Here is a 20575-nt window from a genome sequence, read left to right as displayed (position 1 = left end):
CTTCAAATGTTTGATTGCATTTTAAACTTTCTCTAATAAGATACTTTTTAGGAGGTGAAAAGATGTTAATATAGTTATCATCATTAAAATATTTAATGGACACATCTTGAGACAGGCACTTAGCTGGATGTGTTATAGACGCTGGGCCCTTGTTCTCAGTGACCTTAAAAAATATCGTCAGAGCTATGACAGGAAAGAGCTAAAGGTTCTTTTCTATTTGAAGTCCATAATGTATTTTGGAGCAGAAATGTAAAATAAAGGGGAATATCATCCTTTCTGAAGAGAATAAAAATGTGTTTCTGAAGCCTAAAGGAGTCAGTTAATGTAGATTTCTCACTGTTTTATTAAAATAAAGAAGGGGCCAATAAAACATATATAGATCTTTAAATAATCAGAAGGCAAAAATCAAAATTATTTCAATTTTTTAAAATAAGAGCACTTTAATTCACATACAAATAACAGTTCCTCATTACCAAATAGCATCCTTTCCTTAGACATATGGGCTTAGGGGAAAATGTTAAAAGGGCTGAGTGAAAACAGCAAGACAAAGACAGGTGTGTTCTACCTGAGTTGGAAGAAGGCTACACTTTGTATTAGGTTACAATTTTGCAAATGGTCTTTACAGAAAAATACCAGCAGATATTCTCTGGGAACCTGGACATTACTTTGAGTTAGAGTGAGGTCAGGCTTTTTGGCCCTACTCTATTGCCTAAGCCTTTTATAAATGGCTCTGATACAAGCTGTGGTAATCCTCTTTCTCCATGAGGAGTGGCTGCTTTTCTTCAGGAAGCTGCTTTCTCTTGTGACGACACAGCAAGCTCACAAGCCCTGCCAGCAGGGCAGTGAGGACGGCCCCTACCATCGCCGCCCCAAGGAGCCATGACCAGATCCGACTCGCTTGTTCCAAATAGGACTTAATGTAGTCTTGAAAAGAGTCTGGGTCTGAAATAAAAAGACATCCCATTGTTTTTATTGTTACCACCATTGTTACGATCACCATCATCTTCATCCTTTCACAGTCCTTTGGAGTAGACACCTGGGTTTGAAGGCCAGCTCTACTACTTATTAACTGTAAGAGCTTGGGAAAGTTACACCTAATACTCCAAAGCCTCAGTTTCTTCATCAGAAAAATGGGAAAATAATACCCCTCTTGTTGGAACGTTTGAATTTTATAGATAACATCCGTAAGTGATTCAGGGCCTGGTATATAGTGTGTACTCAATTAAATGTTAGCTGTGATTTTTCCATCTTTTTCTGTGAAAGGATGTTGTAACTATTCCGATTATCAATAGAACACCGTTATATCATTAACCATTCACTAATCCAGTCTTTTAATTATTTGACAGACATTAATAGTAATGTTGGCAAATGCTCAGCAATCTTAGTAGCCTCCCAAGAACCCTAGGGCATTTGAACAATCTCTGTATTCACAGAGGTCACAGTCTTAAATCTTGAAACAGATTTTGGCGCATGGGCACCGTCCCTCTGTCCTAAGGCTTCGGGGGTTGGGGGCGCTCTTGGTTACCGGGCCGCAGTGGCATAGGAGTGGGCCCTGTGCCGCGGTACCCTGGAGCGTCCGCACTCTGGGCCTTTGTTTCTCCTCAGAGACGCACTCCCTGCTGGAGGGCAGGGGCCTGGCCTTTATAGGCCTCAGGACTCTGAAAGTAAAGCCTGGAGGGGCGGGGCTTAGGGGAGCCGATATATGTAAGAATAATAGCCCTTCGGGTCTGCCAAAATCAAACAACAACAACCAAAACAAACAAACAAAAAAACCCCAAAAGCCTGAAATGAAACTACAGTGCAAAAAATAATAAATAATTTTAAAAAGGGAGGAAAAAAGAAAACAGAATGAAAAGGGTAAAAAAGTCGAAGAGGCAGAGCCTGAAGCATTTGTGGAAAAACTACTGGATCGAATTACAGCAAAAGGGAAGGTGGAGCATTTCCTGAAGTTTAAGGGACGTCAGATGTTGACAGTACTTGGGAACCCGCAGAAAATTTAGATTGTCCAGAGTTAATTGAAACATTCCTTAATTCTAAAAAACCTGGTAAAAAAAAATTACAAAAAGAAAGAAAGTCTTTATCTGACAATGAATCTAATGACAGCAAATCAAAGAAAAGAGATGCTGCCGACAAACCAAGAGGCTTCACCAGAGATCTTGATCCTGAAAGAATAATTGGTGCCACAGGCAGCAGTGGAGAATGGATGTTTCTCCTGAAATGGGAATATTCACATCAGGCCGACTTGCTGCTGGCAAAAGCGGCAAATATGAAGTGTCTTGAAATTGTAATTGTTTTTTACAAAGAGAGACTAAGTTGGCATTCTTGTCCAGATGATGAAGCTTAATTGTTTGCATTGTGATATATATATCTGGGTCTTGGCTTTTAATTAACTAGTGTGGAAAAATAACTACATTCTAATGAAAATCAGTTTTGATATGTTCATTTTAAAAGTAGTATTGGGAGAGTTGGGTTTTTTTGGTGTGTGTGTTTTTTTTTCATCAATACCACTTGTTACTTTGAACAAATAAAAGCTTTCTGTAGTTGCTTCCTTTATCATAAAAGAACATTTGATATCTTATTCTTCTATGAACGTATTCATAAAATGATGTATTATTTCCTCTGCATTAGAGAACAGCATTTCTAAATGTCGGGGAAAATTTCCATAGTCATTACTCAATCAGAACTTGCGTTTATCCTAAGGACCATTCTGGGTTGTGTGTGTGTGTGTGTGTGTGTGTGTGTGTGTGTATGCATAAAATGTGTACATAAATGGCTTTTTGTGTTGTTTTTAAACATTCACCAAACAAAAATCATGGGTAAGCCCATGTTTTTGAGATGCCATCATACTGAGCAACCTAAGAAATAAATCACATCAAATTAAATTCAAAATTTTCCTGAAGCCATACATTTCAAATAAAACAGATGATTCTATAATTAGTTGGACAATTTAAATGTATCATTTAATAGTAGCCATATAAGAATCCCTATCTACACCTTTAGTCATATAAATGAACAGTTTGTAAAATTCCTAAAAGGAATAATTTTATTACTACCAACAACCTCCCCAACCAGATGAGGGAACTAGACAGATCCTGCTGTGTTTTAATTATCTAAACAAGACTTAATTTAATGGACATTTAACGATTCCTCTAGCAGGCCATTCCTTTACAAAAAGTTGAAATCCCTGTGCTATACTGACTAAAAGGTAATGATTCATGGGATGTCTAAGACTTGGCTTTAGGAACCCAATCAGATGGTTGGAGATTTGGCAGTTTAGAATCTGCTGCCATAAATGGATGAACAACTTTTGTAATGTATTGACTTGCATATTTTTTCTTTACCTTAACTCATTCCTTACAGGTAGACTCAGTCTTTTCAATATTCGATTTTCTGGTTCAGCAGAAACCAGGGAAAACAATAACTTGGTAGTAATCAGAATGTTATCCAATTGTATATTGATTCCTTTATTGTAAATAAAGGTGAATAGTGGTCAATCGTTTTACATTACTTTAAAAAGCAACAACAGATTTTGACCACATATATTTAAACAATAATTCTGAACAAGGAAAAGTCTTTAGCCTCCTGATTATTTATATTCCTTCAAACCACATAAGAACATGGCACTGAGGAGAGACAGCATCCAATATGTTACTGGCTTAGCATTTCCTCTATTATCATACCCGTCACATTATATTCCAGTTATCTATTATATGAATATTTTTTCTATTAAAATGACTCATTGAAGGCCAATAGTATATTGTCATCATTGATATAATTCTAGAATCTGGTATAGTGTCTGAAACACATATGAGAGAATAAACATGTTTACTGAATGACTGAATGTGTTATTGGACCCAGAAGATATGGTGAAGGAATGTCCCTGAATGGCAGCTGTGGAATGAGAAGGGCAGACATATACAAAAGGATGTCACCCAGGGAAAAAATTTATAAATTACTCATATTTCACTATGTTATGAGGTAGTATTTACAGTTCCTTTTAAAATTTGGTATAAACAGTGATGGGTGCTTTAAAATGAAAAAAAAAGTCTTAATTCCAATAGAAAAGTAATGCAGGAAAACAAACGTAATCATAGCATACTATTTGGTTGAACTGTAAATAATATTGTAGTAGTAAAAACAGTAAAATTCCTAGATGTGGATTTGCCCCCAAATATGATAATACTATACTGAGAAGATGAATGAAAGAACAGGGAAGCTGTAAGAGAGTTAAAATCATTATTTAAATATGAGGAACTCCAAAGATAAACTTGATGAATTAACAGATAGTAATATTTCCCTATTATTTAGAAATACAGGGCAATATAGCAGAATAAATAGGTAAAAGGGTTACAGTAGCTGATATAGGGGCATAAACATTTTGTTATAAGACTTGCAGCACTCTTTGGCTTGTAAAATAACATGCTTATAATATTTGATAAAACAAAATTAATTAAAAGATATGCTTAACAACTTATGTGTATGTGGAAAAAAGTATAAGAAAAAGTACACAGGAGACTAAAACAGCACAAGTGATCAATCTAACAATAAGATTACAGTTGATTTTTATTTTTGGTTTATTCTATTAATTTTCCAAAATAAAAAAAAAGTCTTTTTACTGATACAATTAGAAAGCATGCTACTAAAAGTACCTGATGCAATTAATAGATGATATAACTATATATTTAGGAAATCCATAATCAGATAATGCATAGTAAAAAAATAAAATACGGCTAGATAAGTATTACATAAATTAAACTTCCCTATACATCAACAATTAACCTATTGTTTCTATTAAAATGGCTCCTTGAAGGCCAATAGTGTGCTTTCATCATTGATATAATTCTAGAATCTGGTACAGTGTCTGAAACACATATGAGAGAATGAACATGTTTACTGAATGACTGAATGTGTTATTGGACCCAGAAGATATGTTGAAGGAATGTCCCTGAATGGCAGCTGTGGAAATGGGAAGGAAAGATTTGTTTTAATGAAAAACAAATCTCATTCTCACAATCAACTACATATTTAAGGCACGTAGCAGTTAAGGAGAGATGTTTAAATTTTATGTAAATATAACTATAGAATCTATTTAGGAGACTATTAAGATTTGAGTAAATGAGGAAGTCCGTACTGAATATCTGTTCAGTAAGAGCAAATGGATTCTTTCTAACAAAACAATTCCTTTATAGAAGATGCTCTCTATAATGCATATAGAAGATATATATGTAGAACATACACAGAAGATACTATAAATTTACTTTTTGACATAGCAGAAAGAAGAGAGTGCATCCTGGGCTTACCTTGCAGCAAGTCATGGCTATGTGACTCAAGTCTAGAGCAAAAATATATGTATAACTTTGGGGGAAGTTCCCTTAAAAAGAAAAGAATATATCTTTAACCATTTACCTTTTCCTTTCTGACTAGCTAGAATACAGACAGGTTGTTGGTGAGCCATCATGGACTATATAACCCAGGGTAAACCCTAGACCTTGAAAGTTACTGTTTTTAATATATATTAAAATTATTTTGAAAATGGGACTACAATACTTAGCTTAAATTGCTGTTAGTGGCTTCAATACATAGTACATTTAAAATGTCCAAAAAAAGGCAGGATACATAGAGGCTACATAATAAATATTTTCTTTTTTGTTAAAGGCTTGGCTGAAGTGCTTTCACAGCTTTTAAATACTATTTCTATGTCAGTCCTGTTCTCCAGCTTCTCTTACTATTGCTCCACTTTAATTCATTCCAAGTGGTCTCAATTTTTACTGTCACCAAGGGACTGTCTTTGAGATACTTTTATTTCTCAACATCCTTCAAATTCAGACTTTCTTTGTAAGCCATCTGCGTTTGAGCCCCAATAGTGCACCTTTTTGTTCTGTCCCAATATCGTAATTTTTTGATCATCCTTCCCTCTGTGAAGTCCTATTTTTCTTGTCATCCATTCTTTTCAGAATAATTATGTAGATTTTTGTTTTATGCTCTATCATTTCCAAAGTGCATTAACATGCCCATTTATTCACAAAACAAACACATGAAGTAGTTAGGGGCCATTACTCAAATGAATTAGGAGTCTGCCTGGAGCGATTAAACTAGACAATGTATGTATAGCCCTTGGTACAATGTCTACCATATAGAAAACAATTTACAACTGCTGTTGATTCTTATCATGATAGAATGATAATTTCATCAATATTTCACCTAAATCAGCTTACAATTTGAGTTTTTCTTTCCAAACTTGCTTCAGCTGCTGACTCAGCTCCATTCTCTTCTGGATTCTCAAACTAGTTTCTTTGCTGCCTTGTGACATTTGGCACAAACGTCCATTTATTATAATTATATCTATTTATATATGTCTTATTTTTCAAGCTTGTCACAAACTCTCAAGAGCAAGTATTATGTCTTACTTGTTTTATCTTTCTTCAACTCATTTATTAAAATATCACTTATTCATTGAGATACACTACCTGTAGGCGGGGAGTTGGGGGGCACTCTGTCTCATTTACCTTTTCACCCTCAGCACCTGGCAGGTAAACAAATCATTTCGAGAGTAATGTTGTTCTGATGAAGATAGAAAGGCATCATGGAGAAAAGACTTCCTACATCTCTGTGAAGTCAGGGAATGCACCCCAGAAGACTGTCCCACTGAGTAAAAGAATGAATTAGACTCTGAGCATATAATGTTGATGGCAATCCATCCTAGGCAGAAAAGAACAGCATGCACACAGGTATACACAGCCAAACAGAGCTATTGAACAAATTCATGAATGATAGAAGTGTCATCAAATTCCATTGGCAGAATGGGGCACTGCAGTTACTGTGAACAGTGTTTCCCCTTCTCATTTTTGAAACCAAATTTCCAGGTCTTTTGTAATGTATGGGGAGAAGGAAGCTCTCAACAGAGTTTTTCTGCTACGTAGAAAGTAAGATTACATTTATCAACAACATTGAAGACATAACCCTTCTTTGCCAAAGATTTTTGGCCTCCCCTTGTAAATTAGTTATACATATGAGAAAATCACCTGCTACTCAATTTTCTAAAGAATCACTAAATTCAATTATAAGAGAAAAAGTTTGATAAATGGCAGACATCAGCTGCCTTTTTACAGAAACCACTTAAGTAATTATAAACATGAGTACCTGGTTGATGAATAATAATCCCCTTGAACAAAATTATATCAAGAAATCTTAAATAATTTTTTAGTAAGCTTAAAATTTAGCTATGAATAGAGATAAATTTTAAACTCCTTGAAAGTACAACAGAGGCAACAATATGGAAAAATTCATAAAATAGAAAATAGGCAATTGGTGTTACTTAGTTTAGCTGTTTTGTTTTGCTTTGTTCTTAGAGATGAGTCTTGCTGTGTTGCCCAAACTGGCCTCACACTCCTGGGCTTAAGAGAACCTCCTGCCTCAGCCTCCCAAGTATCTGCTGTTGCTTATTTTAAAGTCAAACTTCTCTAAAATTAACTTTGTAAATTCAAAGCCGTGTGAAAATTACTCTAAAGCATTTCAAGTAAATTGTTTCTTTAAATTTAATTGGAAATAAATACCTTCAAGCTTCTAATATGACTCATTGAGCCTCTTCTCCCCTGGCTCATCCAGGAAATTTTGTTGCCTTTGTAGTAAAAAGTATCCATTGGGACACTAGGGAAGGAACAAAGAGGTGGAGCATATGCGTAGAAGACAATGTAGGGGTTAAAGGGAACCCTCTTCTCTGTGCAGTGATGGAGTGATGAAGTTTTGGATTCAGTATTTGACACTTACTAGCTTTGTAGTTTAAAATTAATCACTTTATCTTTCTGAGTCTCAATTTACTTACCTGTAAAACAGAATAAAAATCACCCTTCCATGGGGTTTTAAAAATTAGCTGAGTCAATAATTTATATGCTGATGTCTCTCGCATTAGGATCTGAGGGCCAGACACCGCTTTTGAGTTTCAGGCTGTGTATCCAACTTCTCAAGAGACATTCACCTTGCCGTCCCATATAACTTCATTTCACTGTATAACAAAACCATAAGCTTTCCTCCATGTCTTTCTTTGCTCCTCTTGTTATTATATGAGTGAATTATACTACCATTCATCATTTTCACAGGCCAGAAAGCGTAAAGCCATTCCTAATCTCCTTCATCTGATATATAAATAATTTTCCAAGTTCTGTAAATTTTGCCTTCAAAATAATATCAAATTAATCATGCTTTCTGTCTCCCTTCCTGCCACCACCACTGCAACTTAAACTACCTTTACCTCTTCCTCAGACTCTTATAATAGCATTTTCACTGGCTTTCTGCATGTGCTTTCCAACTACTAAAATTTTTCTGCATACTGAAGCTGCAATAATCTTTTGAAAATTCAAATTTGATTATAACCTGCTTAAAATTTATCAGTGGCTTGCATTATTCTAACAATATGGCCCAAATTCATAACCATGTCCTCCTTTTCAACTAGTTAATTCTACCTGTCATATTGATGTCATCTGAAGTATCACTTCATTGACCCCTGGAGTTAGGCATATCTCTATATAAATGAGTTTTTCAGCAAGCAGTTAAGATCTTTCTCTTCCATGGTAAACTTTGTGAAGATAGAGACTATGTTGTTTACCATTGTATCCATAGTATCTAAGGCAATGTGTTATTCAAAGTACGTATTCAATAAATGTGTATGTAAAGAATAAACAACTCAGTACAGACACATAAAAAAAAACCTGGTGTGATAGAATACTTATAGTGTTTTAAAATATATATCCAAAAGTGACCAGAGTATTAAGAGGTGTGGCATTTTTCTAGAAAACTTCACTTATATTAGTTAAGAGAAATGACACTTCATGATAAATATCACTTGTACTCAAACTGATTTATTGATTTCAGTCCATACCAGATACAATGTGATGCTTAGAATGGAGAAGCTTGCAAGATAAATTCTGATCTTGGGGGTTTGGGGAAGAATAAAACCCAGGACAGATTCATACACAGAAAGAAATGCTATGTAACTATGAGAAAGGCGTGAGTAAACATCACTATAAGTATAAAATGATTTTTATATCTGAGAGTTTGACAAATGGAGAAAGAGAGTCAGAATTCAGGCAGAAACAATAGCATATTTAAAAGCATGAACCCATGAAAGTCTAGCGTGTTTTGGAAATGGAAACAGACACTAAATCATAAAATCCTAAATGGAAAATCTTTGAAAAATAGTTACCAATAAGCTCCCTTTTTTATGTACTGTGGTTTTCATAGAAGAAAGAGAAGACATGTCACTTGAGACTTACAGGAAACCCCTCCTCTTACCACACCTCCACCCTTTGCAAATTTCTCTGTTCTTAGTGATCTTAAGATTTTCCAAAAACTGATCTCCTTTGTCAGCTGTGTTAGCATTTTGTGCATTGGCTACAGTCTTCAGATAAAGCAGAAAAGTTCAATTAAACCCATATCTTTTCAATTAATCATCCCTCAAAGGGCAGAACAAGGTTGATGACCTATAGCCTCTCCTGTTAGCCCCAAATTGTGTATATATTGTACCATATACTAGGTAAGTGGCCTGGGAAAATCAATTTATACTCTTTATGACTCTGTTTCCTCATCTATGAAAAAGCAAAAGAAATAATGATACCTACTTCATAGAGTAATTATGAAGATTTAAGGAAGTAATGCATAGGGCACATTGAGAAGAGTTCCTGGCTAATAAAAAATACTTAGTATGTGTGAACTATTATAAACTGGGTCAACTTATTTTCTTCGTGTCCTTTTCCACTGTTCATACTACTCAAATAGAATAATTCAGCATTTCATAAATATGCTGTACATTTTCCACCTCTACTGTTCTTGCTATTCTCTTTGCCTAGCATATCCCCTGCCCTTTTCTATCTGCCACCTGCTTATTCATTCTCAAGGCCTTGTTTTCTCTTTTTAGGTTGAACCCTTCAAAAGTCATGGCTTTCTCTTCAGCACTGCTGTGGGATTTTCTTTATGACTCTTTTACTGCACATAACACAGCCTGATGTTTTTTACTTCCTTGCACAATTGTCTTACTTCCACACTGGAGCTTCTTCAGGTATGAAACTATGCTAGTCATGTATCACTGGATTTGAGCACAAGAGTGAGAGGGTTGAGTTTCATTCGTTTATTTTATATATTTATTTATTTATGTATTTATGTGTCATTATCAATGAATGCAATGAAACATCAATGCTTGTTAAATACCTCCTACCCATAAGCCACACTGTTTTTGATAATTAACCCTCATGCGTTAGGTGAATTACAGTGCGGTGAGATGAGGAGGACCTCCTAGAATTGAAATCTTGCTTCTCCACATTATTGGTGTTTGATTTTGAGAAAGTCACTTAAATTCTCTGGGTATCAGTGTCCTCACCTTTATCTTAGGAGAATAAAACTTACCTCCTATATGGTTTATTAATAATACATGTAAAGAATATGCATGTAGTGGACTTTCAGGTAGAAGGAAACACTACTATCTGTTCCTCATTTTGTCAAGAAGATACTGACATGGTTCTATGCAGGAAGATTATTTAGAGCTCAAATCTAATTCTAATCCTGGGGTTTTATATTACTATCGTCATCATAGAGCAATAAACATTATAATAGCTATTATTATTAACTACACTTAAGTTCAAGATTTCTACAAATTTTCTTGGTAACCCTAGCAAGAAACTTCCAAAAATGATTCCAAAACTGCTGGATGTTTACCCTGTGTTACACTGTACTAGGCTCATTAATGTATCATTCTAAATAATTCTTTAATGTGTTCTGGTCCCAGTATTTCAGGTGAATAAACTGAGATTCAGGGATGTAGAGTGAATTTCCCAGGTCACCTTACAGTCAGTTGATAGAGTCATGTCTCAAAACCTTTTTTTTTCTTCTTCTGATTCTACTGCTCTTCACATGGTTGCCATGTACAAAATGGCCTATGTTAAGCAAAATGACCATGACTTTAAAGATCCTCAGAATTTGATTCCTGTGATAATAAACTGGTAATAAATTAAGGATTATAATGCACTTTCAGGATTTAAAGTGTTCAGGAATAACATTGTCGAAGCATAAAGTTTTGTGTTATCTCAAAATAAATTGGTAACACTAGATTCAGCAATTCCTCTGAAAGAAAGTAAACTTTACCTGAATCTTGTAGATAGCTATAGTCATAGCCCAGATCTTTGGATGAAATAAAGAAATCACCATTTCTGTACAGTGGTATAAAAGGAACCATGTAGGATTCCCGGTTATGTCCAATGGGTGCATTGGCTTCTGGATAAACTTCTTGAAGAGGACGGTGCCTTCGGAGCCACTGCTCAAAAATACTGCAGAGGAAAAGGTTATTCAGACTAAGAAACATATTGTGTATAAAAGAAACATTTGAAAATTTTTAAAGTAAAATAAGGCATATATTAAAATCTGGAGACATGGAAAGATGTTGAATATATTCTTTATACTTCAAAAATATTTCGTAAAGTATTAGTTTATTCTTTCAGGCCTTGAAGTTCACTCATTTAAAATAAATATTGAGGCTAGCTTTGAAAAAATAATTTCTTAGCAGGTGAATAAAACTTACACATTGAGTTTTGAACCTCCAGAATGCTGCAAAATAAAGGTAACTATTGGTTGAGTGACAATTGAGTCATAGTTGTAAATTAAATATATTCCCAAAGAAAGACCAGAGAAAGAACGTATAAAACTAAATTGGAAACAGTGCTAGAATTTGGTCATTTTTTTGGTTCTGGTGGGAGGCTTTCAATGATTTAAACATTCATGTTGTGATAGGTGAAGTGTGGGCTTAATGAGTCTTGATGGGAGACAGAGCTTACCTCCAATGACAATGGTTTAGATACCTAAACTTTGTTTCTCGGCTTTTTCTAAAGTTAGAGTATGACCATATGATAAATATTCTGCCAATCTGACATACTCATTCATGACTTCGAAACAGGAGATAGTGACACAAATAAGCAGGGACAATCAGAAACCATCCTAGAAATGGGCAGTGGCAGTTGATATAACAATATTTAGTTTTCAGGGGCAGCAAAGCCAGATGTACCAGCAAAGAAATCCATTGCCCAGCAAGTGCCCTGTGTTCTATAGCATGGTTTTGGCAGCCGTCTTAGCTGATGCCCTTCTTGCTTATTCTCACCTATTTCTGAACCTGCTGCTCCATGATTTTGTGAGCTACTCAGTAGCCTCTCAGCAAATTCTTTTCCTACTTAAATCAGGCAGAGTTAGTTTCTATTTCATGCAACTAAAAACTTTGACTGGAAAAAAACTAAAAAATTAAAGGATTGAAAAAAGTCCAGTAAGAATGGAGTAGAAACTCAAGTTGTAGAGTAATTTATAGAGAGCCATTAACAATATGACAAAGAGAATGGCTTTGCATTATCGAGTCATATGACATAGAAGAAAGAACACAAGAGCTGGAGTTGGGGAACTCTTCTTGAGGCCTAGCTCTGTGTTTTCATCTGGCTGTATAACTCTAAGAAAATCACTGAACTTGGAGAATTAGCCTCCTCATCCTTAAATAAGAGTAATAATATCTGTCCTACCTGTTTCCAATATGATAGTTTTTGTGAAAGTACTAAATAATAAGCTATCGTTACTTAGCTGTACATTTTAAGCTAGCAGGTCAAAGGTTGGTACATGGTAGAAAAGGTGGTATTGAAAAAGAAGTGATAATGCTTCAAACAAAATGAATACAATTTTAGAAAACCATTTTCAACATTTTGAAGCACAATAATGAAGAGAACAAGGAAGCCAAATGGAAGAAATGGTGATCATTTTTTCCATGACAGAAAACAATTCTGTTTATTAGAGGATCTGAACTTGAACACACTACTTGTGGTCAAAGTTGGTTTTCAGTTGTGAATTTAGTGAGGAATTGGCAGTCCACTGATAAACACTAAAAATCTGGTCCATGCATACCAAATGCTTTCTAAATTAGTTCAATTATTAAACGAATATTTACTGAGTATCTACTGTAGGTCAAGTTACACAAAGAACTGTGTAAAAATCTGAGTTCTATAGGTTGAGACAGGGAAGATTTGTAAAATTGTATCTGTTTGATCTTCTTTATTCTACAAAATGGGAATTATATTTATGTCATGAAGGTAATGTAAGGATTAATTAAAATAACACAAAATACACAGTTAAGTGGTACATAAAAGCTATTATCTTTCTCACAGCTCCTCTCTTCTCTTCTTCCCCCTCCTAAGTATTATGACTATACTGGAAAAACTTTAAAATTGATGAGACATAACATATGCTGTTTTAGAAATGCCAAAGCCTTGCATATGTGAGCAGTGCCTTTAGTGATGGTTAGTATTCTGATAGGCAAAAATGAGAAATTAGAAGATTTAAGAAGATGAGTTTTTCTGTGCTTCAGTTTCCTCAACAGAAGAAATTAGAAACTGGCTTGACAATAAACCCCAAATTTTATTAAAGTCCTATGATTTTATAAACTAGTCCTTTTGTTTTAACTTTTATGGTTTTCTTCTCTACAAAAGCAGTACTTGTTTGTTATGTAAAATAGAGAAAATACAAAGAAAAAGGAGAAAAGAAAAAATCACCTGTAATTGCTCTATGCTTTTGTTATATCTAGTTTTTAAAATATGCATCCACAACACTCTACCTGTATTTTACCAAAAAAGGAAATCACATTATAGATAATTTTTAGTAGACATTTTATTCGTACTAACCATGTGTTTTCAATTGGTAAATTAAATTTTTAAAATGAGAAGGAGGCTGTCTGATAATCCCTCCACCACCCCTGTCAAATTTTGACTGATTTGGGAACAGCCTGATATACAGTGAGCCACTAAATAAGGGCTGGAGGCAAAAATTGTACCTTTTGTCAATCGAGAAAAATTACTTCTATAGTTCAATTTATAAATAATCTTGTTTCTGCCATGAAATAAAAATTCTTTACCTAAGTAGGACAAGGACATCAATTCTCAGCACCAAAAGATTTAATGGATGAAACCATTAATGTGCTCACCCACCTCATCAACCTTTTCAAATGAAGGTATTAATCTTGATTAAGTTCTTCACCAGTGATTCTCAACTTCAGTTAATTTCACCAAACCATGACTAGAATAGCTCACATGGGAATATTAATGTTTAACTCAGATAATTACATTGACATTTGGGGAGGAGGGGGTAGTCATCTTTTTAGCAAAACTTAATTTGAACTGAATCTAGATAGTTTTTCTGAAAATCTGAGTGACAGTGAAATTCACAACAGAAAAATTAGAAAAATGTAAAGATGAACACAGATGGAAATATGGAAAGATGTGTTTTATAAATAAAAGCTGGCATGGGACCTCTGATTTCAGGTCAGACATGTAAAGACTCTGGTCACCCTTATCCTTAAAATAAGAACAAAATAGACAAATTAATAATCAACAAATTTTCTTGGACCCATGAGAGAATTGAAGTTGCGGGGCAAACTGCCATCCTCAAAAGTGGAGAGATGGGTTCATCCAGAGGTACATAGCTGAGATCTGCTTACCAGGGGCAGGAGCAGCTGGATTCCTAAAGTGGTAGGAACACTGAAACACTTCGATGAATGGCTGGAGACTGAGTCTAGACTAGTGAAGATAGTGGGAAATTCCTGGGTGCTGCTGTCTTAGGGGAACTTCCACATGTTTGGGGCTTTACCTCCAGGAACTCCACCAGGTTTTTATGGTGAAGACCTCAGAAAGATACTCTCCTTACTCTGTTACAGGGAGGAGGAGAGTGACCGTTGTGAAATATGCCCAGGACATTCTCCATATCAAAGCCCTATGATCCAGGGGAAATTGTTAGAGCCTTATCCCAGTTTCAGGAAGAGAATTCCTTTCAGTCCAGCCTCTTTCAGTCTTCCTGTCTCACCTAAGGGGAAGTAAATATAAGCCACAGGGGTCAGAGTTTCAAGGAAATAAATAGAAATACTGCAACCAGGGAAGCAAATAGAGGGGCAGAGGCAAAAGAAGAAAAAGCTGTATTGTGAAGCCCCAATGCACTGGCCTACTAAAGGACTAAGATTTAATTAGAATATTTTGAACACTCCCCTCTCTCATACTTTACCAGCATCCAACAAATCTCCAGTATAACAACAGTGGATTACAGCTAAAAGAGCTGAAATACATGAACTATCTCTGAGGAAGAGTATGTAGGGAAACCCAAAACCAAGAATAGAGACAAAAACAAATACACTAGAGAAACTTGAGGCCTCTCATCTCAAAACTGTAACAACTAGGACAAACATTTAAACATTGTGCAACTCCTTGCCAAAGTAACATAAATTTGTACACTAAAAGCCCATTTACCTCAGTTTATCTTACCTAATAAAACATATGGCTTTTAATAAAAAATTACAAGTCATGGCAACAGAGAAGAAAAAAAATCTGAAGAGATAAAGCAATCATTAGAATCATTTATATCATATTAGATATGATATAAATTTTGGAACTATGAGACATAGAATCTGAAATAATTGTGAATAATATCAATTTTAAAAAACTATACATAATATAAAATTAATAGAATAACATTTCTAATAGAAAAAGTAAATAATATGCAGAAAATCATGAATAATGTAAGCAGAAAGACGGAAACCCTAAGAAAAAATTGAAAGAAAGCCTAGAAATCAAAAACACTCCAACAGTGTTGTATATATCACTAACATTGATATGGCCAAGAAAAGAATCAGTGAGCTTGAGGCTAGGTTAGGAGAAACTTCCCAAACTGAAATGTAAAGAGAAAGAATAAAAAATAATTAAGAATTATGGGATAATTTCCAAAAAATGTAACATATGCATAATTGGAATGCCAGAAGAAGAAAAAGTAGGCAGAACAGAAGAAATATTCTCCAGTAAAGGGAACTGGGGTTCCTCGAAGAAACGGCAGGTTCTAGGGCTGGGGTAAGAAATATACAAGATGAATGTTGAGCATCTTTTAGTGCCATAAACTAAGGATATGTTCAAAGAAACGACAACCACCCACAATGTTAGAGATATTTCAAAGGAACAGAGTAGTCAACTGAAATCACTCCTAAAGGCTAAAGCTGGAAGAGTTTGAGCCACAAAATAAAGTTGTATAAAATAAATATAGAGGAGTCTGTACAGATATAATCTATAAATATACAAATTAATAAATGGAGAGAAATATATGAATCTATCATGTAAAAGAATTCAAATAATTATGTAGATACTCTGTCTTGAAGGTACTATATATAACTCCCCACTCACTAAGTATGAGATGCACACAGTGACTTCTTTTCAAAGAGTGCAGTATAAAAACATGGTGAAATCATTTAACAGTTTGAGAAACTTGACCAACACTACCTCTGCCAGGTGATCAAGGTTAACATTCACAATGGTAAGTTATGTTAATAGCATAGCCCTTTTTGGGTGATAGAGGTGTGATAATTGCTCTCTACCCATCATAAGGGTCATGGCCAACACTCCTATAACAAAAGACAGATTAACAAAGAAAAGCATAATAATTTAATCAAAGTTTTATATGACATGGGAGACTTCAGAAAAGAAGAGCCAAAGACCCAGGGAAAATTGTTTATTTTATGCTTAGATTTTATGCTTATGGCCAGTGTTGCAGAAATTTGGACAAAAGAGTATGATCTAATGTAATAGACTGAGAGAAACAACCCAGTAAGCCCTGTCTGTTTGTATTCTTCTTGACCTCTCTGTGCAGCAGTCCCTCCTCCTACGTATAGGGCAGGGCCTTAGCAATGAAGGTTTTATGACCTACTATCAAATAATGTAGGTCAGAGTATTTCTTTATGGCCAGCTGCTACAAAGAAAGGTGGGAGAAGATGATAGTAATATTTTTAGGGTTTATGGCTTGTTTTGGAAAAGAAAGGTTCTAGTTTTTATGATCTTGGGGAAGAGGGAGTCTAGTTTCTATGGTTTATTTCACAGGAGAAAGAGGGGCCAGAGACTTTGCTTCTGAGGCCTTCCAATCTCCTTTACTTCAAAATACTCAGCATCACAAGGCACCATACTTTGGGGTACATTTTTGAGTCCCTCTACACCTTTGATATGATGTGAAGAGAATGGTGCTTTACCTCTAGGGTTGTCCATCCCAAAACACATATCCCAGTTTAATCATGAGAAAAAAATCAGACAAATATCAACTGTGGGACATTTTACAAAATACCTGAGCAGTACTCCTCGAAGTTGTGAAGGTCATCAAAAAAACAAAGAAAGTCTGAAAAACTATCACAGGCAAGAGGAACCTAAGGAGACAGAATGATTAAATGTAATATAGTATCCTGGGTGGGATCCTGGAGCAGAAGAAGATATTAGGTACTAAGTAATCTAAAGTATTGACTGTGGTTGATAATAATTATATCAACATGGTTCTTTAATGTCCACTAATGTCCCATACCAAGGGAAGATGTTAATAATAGAGGAATTGGGTATGGAAAATGTAGGAACTCTCCGTTCTATCTTCACAACATTTTTACAAATAAAATAATTATAAAATATTTACTTAAAAAAAGAACAAACAAGGAAGCCTTAAGATAGTTGGATATTTGGGAACTGATTCGTTGTAACACATCTACCACCACCATGAGCACACACAAAAAAAACTTACATACACATATGTAATAGAAGACCTTTTTATTTATTTATTCATTCATATATTTAAAAAATGAATGAATATATTCTAAATATCTATAATAAACTGGCTCTGGGCCCAGCATTGGTGAAGTTTTCTGCCCTATAGTATTTGGAGTCTAGTGGTGGAGATAGACAGTAACTAGCAATTTCAGAAATCAACCTATAGTTATGGACTGGCAAATATGGAAGAATGTAACATGGTAACAGGATTTAATGGGGAAGCCTCATCTGGTCTGTGGCCTGAGGAAAAGTCTTTGATGGTGCATTCTTCAAGAGTTGAAGAATGACTGTTTAGAGAAATGGTAGAAGAATATTTCTGAAGGACAGAATGGAATTTGGAAAGAATCTTTGATTGGAAGTATGCGACAAATTCAAGGAATTAAAAATTGACCAATATGTCTATAGGGATCAAGGAGCAAATAGCTCCAGATGAGGCTAGGAAGGTGAACTGAGGCCAAATCATGAAGGGTAGCAGAGGCCATGTTAGGGAGATTTGTGTTTTTTTCCTAACAGAAAGTCACTGTTTGTATCTGGGAAGGTGAATGATAACACGAACAGATTATCATTTGTAAAAGACCACACAGATTTCGTTGCAGAGAAGGGACTGAGGAAGAGTAGGAGTTGGTGGATATGCACGCATCAGGGGGATAAAGAAATCAGTGAGAAAATGATGTCCAGGAAAATAGATGATGTCTGGAAATCCAAGCAGTACAACTGAGGGGCCAGGTACCACAGAAAATGCCTACTTTTCTGGCTTATGCTACTGAGCAAAGTGTTTGTATTACCAGATGCAGAAACCCCTGAAGAAGTGGAATATTAGGGGAGGATGCTGATGTCATGATTCTAGATGAGATGTGCTGTAAGATGTTTTTGAGACATTTCAGTGGGGATGTCAGGTCATTCGCTAGATATCTGGGTCTGGATTTCAGAGTAAGATTAACTTTGGAAACACAAATTGAGAAGTCAGCTCACCAACCTCTAGCTGATAACTGAAGCCATGGGAATAATGAGATAATGAAAATACAAGAGAATCTGGAGTTATTTTTCTTGGATATCATCTTTCTGAAAGGCCAGGACAGATGACGTGACAATCACACTCTCTTTGAGAACTGCAGCTTGCGATGCCTCCAGCCACACGAATTTCTAGTCACTCAAAATTTATTGAATTGCAGTTGTATAATAGCAAGGCCAGTGCATTCCTAAATTTTTTTTCTTTTATTATTATTTATTTTTTTCATGTAGTACTTGTTTTGAAGCAGTTACTTGTTAAAACAAACTTGTAATTTTTAAATGATAATAAACATTTCCATTTAAACTTAATCCAATAAAACTCTCTAAGCCTCAGTGTGCTCATTTATAGAAAAGGGATGGTACTATCTATTTTAATGTATTTATGAGAACAAAAATAAAATAAGGAAGTGAAATGTCAAGTAACAATAGTTAAGGATAAAATGAGACAATATAAATGATTGGCTTAGTTCTGAAAAAGCAGTAATTTGTTTTCTTCCCTTCCAAACCCCTCATTTTACAGAGGCAAAATAAAATTTGAATCCAAAGGTCACAGTTAACGGTACAACCAACATTGGAATCAAGGGGTCTTGGCTACCACTCTGTTACTAATAATAGTAAGTACCCTGTTCTCTGTGTGTTTACACAGGATGACAGGGGTGTTTCTGCAGTTGCAAGTATGCATATGCTTCTACCAAAGTCTGATGTGTAGATTTTCTCTCTTGGAAGACGCTCTGCTTGACCTTCATCTTGAAATGTAAGCTGTTTATCCAACAGACACCTGCATTAATTAGCATTAAACACCTTAAGTGTTCCTTTTCTCAGAGGACTCAGGACTCACACACTTTATACTCAAGAAGCAGCAATGAATACATTACAAGATCAGGAAAGGATATGTATTAGCATAAGAAATACAACGAAGGAGATAATGTGAAATCATACTTTAAAAAAAAAGGCAGAGAGAGAGAAAGTAGTGAACAAAGTTGGTAAGGGACTGAGTTAAGATGAGAACCCAGTTCTTCTGCTTCTTTCTCTGACACTTTAGTGTTCCCTATCTAGGTTTCTGTTCTTTCCTTCCTTTCTCTCCATGAGGAGGTTTCTGTTACTTTCTGACTAAGTTTTAAGCGATGCAGATGGAGGAGAATTTGTCAACTGGGTGGGAAAGGTACAGAAAACAGATGCTAGATTGTCAGTTAAACATGCTCCTTATTTCAGAAATTCAGGATCACAATCACTCTTTTTTCTTTCACTGTGAGGGAACAAATCCAAATAGAGGCAGAGGCATTGTTGTTTTCAAAGCAGGCACAAGTACATTGGAGGAATATCAATGCTGCCAACCAGCTGAAGAACAACAGCTTTTTATCTTTTGTTTCTCAGTGCCTTGCACACAGATTAGGTGCCAACTATCTACCCAATAATCTTGAGTTTATAATCTAACCCAGATGACAAAGTTAGCAATAAAGCAATGTCTATAAAATAAACTCTTAATATATTGTTAAATCAACTTTAGCTGAAAGTTGTCTCCTACATATTTTAAGTTCAGCCTGAAGGTTTCTCTGTACATTGTGAACTATAACCTAAATGGAGTTGTAAACAGACTATAGTCTATTCTTGTGCCAATCACCGAGTTTTGTCTAATCAAAGGTGGCCAGCTGTTCAAACCATGTTCAAATAAGTCAAACACCAAGCTATAACCAATCTGACTGTTTCTGTACCTCACTTCCATTTTTTTAACGTTATTTTTCTTTTTCTGTACATTAATCTTCTTCCACCATGTGGCTGTGCTAGAGAATCTGAGCCTACTCTAGCTGAGGAAGCTACCTGGTTCATAAATTGTTCTTTGCTCAATTAAACTCTTTTAAATTTAATTTGGCTAAAGTTTTCCTTTGAACAATATCTTGCTTAATATTTTATTGATTCCATTTTACAGAAGAAAAAATTGAGTCAAA

General features: G+C 35.2%; 1 protein-coding gene and 1 pseudogene across 2 annotated transcripts in view; one reads left to right on the top strand and one right to left on the bottom strand.

The window, feature by feature from the left end:
• The window catches only part of TYR (tyrosinase), a 117885-nt gene continuing 97635 nt past the window's right edge, over positions 326–20575 (bottom strand). Inside the window, exons 4-6 of one of the 2 annotated variants that reach the window (XM_011542970.3) lie at positions 11131–11312; positions 7554–7647; positions 326–942 (exon numbers count right to left, since the gene is read on the bottom strand). In XM_011542970.3, coding sequence (XP_011541272.1) covers positions 7598–7647; positions 11131–11312 — 232 coding nt within the window. In that variant the 3' untranslated portion in view covers positions 326–942; positions 7554–7597. The remainder of the gene's footprint in view (positions 943–7553; positions 7648–11130; positions 11313–20575) is intronic. The other variant, NM_000372.5, reaches the window with a different exon arrangement.
• Positions 1832–2540, top strand: CBX3P7 (CBX3 pseudogene 7; annotated as a pseudogene).

The sequence above is a fragment of the Homo sapiens genome, chromosome 11, assembly GCF_000001405.40.
Source record: "Homo sapiens chromosome 11, GRCh38.p14 Primary Assembly".
NCBI classification, from domain to species: Eukaryota; Metazoa; Chordata; class Mammalia; order Primates; family Hominidae; genus Homo; species Homo sapiens.
The sequence above is the reverse complement of the archived record's forward strand: the minus strand, read 5'-3'. Positions and strand labels throughout refer to the sequence as shown.